General features: G+C 41.4%; 1 long non-coding RNA gene across 2 annotated transcripts; it reads left to right on the top strand.

Annotated features, from left to right (window-relative positions):
• Window positions 1–3,368: 3,368 nt before the first annotated feature.
• LINC02400 (long intergenic non-protein coding RNA 2400) lies at window positions 3,369–4,761 on the top strand. 2 transcript variants are annotated; one of them, NR_135040.1, is made up of 3 exons: window positions 3,369–3,445; window positions 3,918–3,986; window positions 4,500–4,761. It is a non-coding gene; the product is annotated as a long intergenic non-protein coding RNA 2400 (long non-coding RNA). The 2 variants fall into 2 exon arrangements; NR_135041.1 differs by lacking the exon at window positions 3,918–3,986.
• The last annotated feature ends 483 nt before the right edge of the window (window positions 4,762–5,244 follow it).

The following is a 5,244-nucleotide window of genomic DNA, read 5'->3' on the forward strand; positions in this document are numbered from 1 at the left end:
GCAGACACTGTTCCACTGTCTAGGGATACAGCAGTGAAGAGGAAAAAACTCTGCTTTTAAGGAGCTTACAGTTTTGTGGCAAGAGAAAGACCATCAATCAATCAAAAAATAAAAAGTCAAAACACATTAGCTATCAGATAAAGATAACTGCTTTGAAGGAAAATAAGCAGGACAGAGGGATAGAGGTGTTTGGATAAAAATACAGTTGTGAAGTCTCAGAAAGTTCTTTTGGAAAAGCAAACACCTGAAAAATGTAAAGACTGAGCCATCTGGGTGAAAGCACCAGGTGGAGGGAGCAGTCTGGAAGAATTTGGAAGAAAAGAAAATCACTTACAGATTTGTTTCCAGGGAAACTTCACACAGAAGGTGGGGTTTAGCTAGGCTTAGAAATATGGCAGGACTCTGGGACATGGAGAGAACAGGAAGGGAATTCTAGATGAGCAGTAATAGAGCACAGGCAGGGAGGGCCAAATAAGTCAACCCATCCATCTGTGAAAGAGTTTGGATAAGGCTAGTAAAGCAGTTGGAGAAGGTTATGAGCGTTTTGAATGCTGGACTAGAGTAGTCCTTTCCCCAAAGGCATTGGGGAAATCATTAAAGGAGCCTAAAAGCAGAATACACAGAAGTGTATATAGTTTGAGCCCATACCCTTTTATTGGCAGAAGAAAATCACACATATGTACACACAGATATGTAAGACCACAGGAATACACCCAATGGTAACACCCGTTATTTCTGGATGATGAAACGGTGAGTGATTTTTATTTTTCTTTATGCTTTTTATTGTTGTTGTTGTTGTTGTTGTTGTTGTTTTTGAGGCAGAGTCTCGCTCTGTTGCCAGGCTGGAATACAGTGGCACGACCTTGGCTCACTGCAACCTCTGCCTCCCAGATTCAAGCAATTCTGCAGCCTCAGCCTTCCGAGTAGCTGGGACTACAGGCACATACCACCACTCCCAGCTAATATTTGTATTTTTAGTAGAGACGGGGTTTCATCATGTTGGCCAGGATGGTCTCAGTCTCCTGACCGCATGATCCACCTGCCTCAGCCTCCCAAAGTGCTGGGATTACATGCGCGAGCCACCGGACCCGGCCTCTTTATGCTTTCCTGTATTTTCCAAATCGTCTGTAAATTATCATTGTTACTTTTATAAGCAGAAAAAAGTGAAAGAATAAGCATTGTTATCATCGGAAAGGAAAAATTTAACATGGGAATGGCCCAAGGGAGTGTTTGGAAAAAATTAAGTGAACAGTGGATACCAATGGACAAGAAAAAGAAGGAGAAGCTTACTCAGCAGCCTTTGAGCCACAGAATACAAACTCTTTTCTCTTGTAAGGTCAGCCCCAGTTCTGTATTTGAGAGTAAGCAATAGAGACAGCTGTGTGTATGGTTGACATTTCTCTACATTTTGCTCAGCTGTTGGCAGCAGCCCTACTTTCTCTCTCCCCAAGCAGAGAGAGGGAAACTGCTAAACTGCAAAAAGAAGAAAATCCAAAATCCAAGATGCATTAAGATACAGTTTGTATGTTTGTTCCTTCTACATATTTGGGTGTCGCAGCTCAAATCCAACCTAAAAATAACAAGAGAAGGAGCATTTTTTTGCGAAGTGAGATACAAGCTCCACTTTGTGAAATTATTCCTCTGGGAATGTCCACAGAAGCTATCATCTTCTTTCACATAATCCCAGGAAATAAGATGGCATGGGAGAAGATGTCTTTCAAGGGATCTGTCCAGGAATGAAGGACACTGAATTAGCAAGTCTTTGTTTCCAAACCTAAATCAGCGGTGCCCAAAACTTACCTTCCGTTATGGACTGAATTGTGTCTTCTGTTCCCACCCGCCAAATTTATTTGTTAAAGCTCTAACCCCCAATGTCATGGACTATGGAGATGAGGCCTTTGAGAGATAATTAGGTTTAGATGAGGTCACCAGGGTGGCGCCCTTCTGATGGAATTATGCCCTTCTAAGAACAGAAACCAGAGAGCTTGCCCCCTCTCTGCCATTAAGGACACAGACAGAAGGCAGAAGTTTTTAAGTCTGGAAGAGAGCCCTCACCAGAAATCAACCATGCTGGCACCCTGATCCCAGACTTCCAGACTCCAGAGCTGTGAGAAATAAATGTCTGTTGTTTAAGCTACCTCAGTCTATGGTGTTTTGTTACGGCAGCCTAAGCAGACAATGACAATTTCTCTCCCTCTGAGTTCCTCGTGGACCCACTGTCTGCACCATTACTTTAACTGCATCCTAGTCTGTCTTACAGTCTTGTGTGTTTTAGGGGTAGATCTAGAGTCTCTGCTATGTTAGTGTTTTGAAATCAGGAACTATGTCCTTAAGTTCTGCTACCTTCTGTATTGGCCCCCAAAGTATTATATATACATTCATCACTCAGTCAAAAAGTATGTATCAAGTAACTACCATATACCAACCACATTGATAAACTCTGAGGACTAGAGAGATGACAAAAAAGAAGTTTTTAAGCGTTGAGCAGCAGAGCAAACAAAACAGGTACATACATAAACAAACCTAACAAATGCAATAAGCACAATTCTAGTGGCAAGTGAAATGCATGGGCACACAAAGGAAGGAATGACTCTTTTACCTGGTGTCAACTAAAGAGAAAAAAAATCAGACTATTTTTCCTTTGTTTGTTTGTAGAGACGGGGTCTTACATATTGTCCAGGCTGGTCTCCAACTCCTGGCCTCAAGTGATTCTCCCACCTCAGCCTCCCAAAGTGCTGAAATTACAGGTATGAGCCACCATGCACCGATAAAAAAAATCAAGCTTTTAAAGATTTAAAGCTAATTTTATTTAAAAGTCTTACTAAGGACTATAGACTGAGGCCTATAGCCCAGAAGCAGCCCTTTAGAGAGGTTGTATCTGAGGTTCTATCAGACTGCGCCAGCCCAGTGTTTTAGCAGTGGGCTATATAGATAATGAAGGTTTAGTGTGTGTAAAATCATATCAAACTTGTTCAGAAGTTACAGTAAAGAGGAATCACATCAAGGGTGTAAGAGTATATCTGGTTGTAGATATATACATTTGGGTGTAAGAGTATATCCAGTTATAGATTATAGAGGCATAATCACTAACTTTGTCAGACATTATCTTACGCGTAGGAAAAGGCAAGAACTAGGGTCATTTATCTTTTAAGATATATAGTAACTCAGGCAAGAGATGTGGGACACCGTGTGCTCTATCCTGTTTGGTTTGCAAAGCATATCTCCAGAGAACTGCATGTGGTCACAGAGTCAGAGCCTTTGTGAAATCACACTGGCAAGCAGAAATGAGCAAATATGACTTCTTACCTATGCTACTTTGTCTCACAGTGGGAAGTACAGATGACTCCCCAGGTGAGACGGCATTTGATTGAGAGCTTAAAACAAGAGTTCCACAGATGAGGAGAAGAAAGAAGCTTTCACTCCAGGCAGGAGGAACAGTGTGAGGGTGAATACAGAGTATGGTAGAGGAAAACAGAATGGTCTGGTGTAGTGTATGGGAGTGGGGAATGGGAGGAGGGGTTAGAAACGTGGAGAAATCAGACTAGACAAGTAGGTTAGATGCAAATCATGAAGGACACTGATTCCTGAATGAAACCCTAAAGAGCTTCTACCTAATGTTCTAAATCTTAGTCTGCTCTCAGGGATTTTAAAGCAGGGAATGAGTGATCTAATCTGCAATTTGGAAAATAATCCCTAGAAAAAGAAAATAACATAATATCAGAAATAGAGACTCTAAAGGAGAATAGTGAAGAGATTGTTGTAATGGTCTAGCCAAGAGATAACAAAAGAGGAACAAGGGGAGGGACAGAGAGAATGGAGAGGAGGGCAGCATCATGGAGCCAGCTGAGTGTAGAAACCATGTCTGGAATTCAAGCAATTACCACTGTTACATGATTTTCCTCTAACACATTCTGTAGCCCTGAGCAAGAAAGGGTAACAAACCAGCCAACAAATGGGAGGTTTTTCCTGAGTGCATGATGAGAAAGGCAGGTGCTACTGGAAATCACTGGGTTACTGGGACTAAGAACATTGGTGAGCATGTTGGGTGGGTGATTTTTCACAAATCCGGATGGGAGGAAAGGAAGAATCTAAAGGAACAGCAAGGACTCACAAGAACAGATGTCCAATGAGGCTAAAGAATGGGTTACAAAAAGAAAAAGAAAGCAGAAAAAGGATTTCAAAATTCAGGATTTCAAAGATTGAGTCATTTTATATGTGACAAGGCTCCAGGTATAGCTACTTGTGATTAAATTAATTCATTAATGTAAAAAAAACCAGAAAGTTCTTAGATGAAATAATTTTAAGGAACTGAGAGATTCAGTTGTTAAATAGGTAATCAGAAAGGACATTGAAGTCAACCAGAGTAATGACATGGGCTAGAGAGAAGCGGCAGACTGCAGGAAAACTGCTGCAGTCCTCAGAGAATGGATGGGAAGGCTAAGGAGGCATATAGATGAAGTTCTATATCAGTAAAGGAATTCTAATTTAAATTGTTTCAGAACTGCCAGGAAAGCTGCAGAACAGAGGTCTGAAAACATAAGAGAAGCCAGGAAAATGCAAGTCCTTCCTCCTGACCCTAGAAAATCTCTGCTGCCAAGGCTGGGACTCTGCTGCCAACTTCAGGCCTGGGAAAACCAAGACTCCAGGAGCTCTACCTCTAGGATTCTTCCAAACATCTCACCATGTCCTCTGATACCTCTGTAGTCATCTGCCACAACCTACTTCTGAATAAATCCTACATTCCACCTTTCTGTGCCTGTACCCAAGAAGCCAAATGTTGATGGAAAAAACCACAAAGGTAGTTAACTGGTCAGCACTGCCAAAAACAAACAAAAAACCAGGCAAACAAAAATCAACCACATTTCTTTAGTAGACTCATATTGCCCTCCACTACGCAAACATTTTATGTCTCACTCACTCTCTTCAAATTTATCATAGCCCAACTTGACAGTCACTCACTGCTCATGACCTTGCTTATACTCTAAGGAAAAAGAAGACATCACATCTGAACACATACATCTGCCAACCCCGAAACTACCAACTTAAAAACACATGTACTCATCCTCTTTCTCCTATTGCAATGGGGGGAATATCCCCGCTTCCATTAAAGGGCAGCTGCACACATCCCTTTTTTTCTTCTCAGAAACTTGGCTTCTTCCATTTCCCCCATCATTAACTTTCCCTAATCTGTACTGGTATATGTATCACTCAATTTTAAAAAGGGTATGTAACACACACACACAT

The sequence above is a fragment of the Homo sapiens genome, chromosome 12 (assembly GCF_000001405.40).
Source record: "Homo sapiens chromosome 12, GRCh38.p14 Primary Assembly".
NCBI lineage: Eukaryota > Metazoa > Chordata > Mammalia > Primates > Hominidae > Homo > Homo sapiens.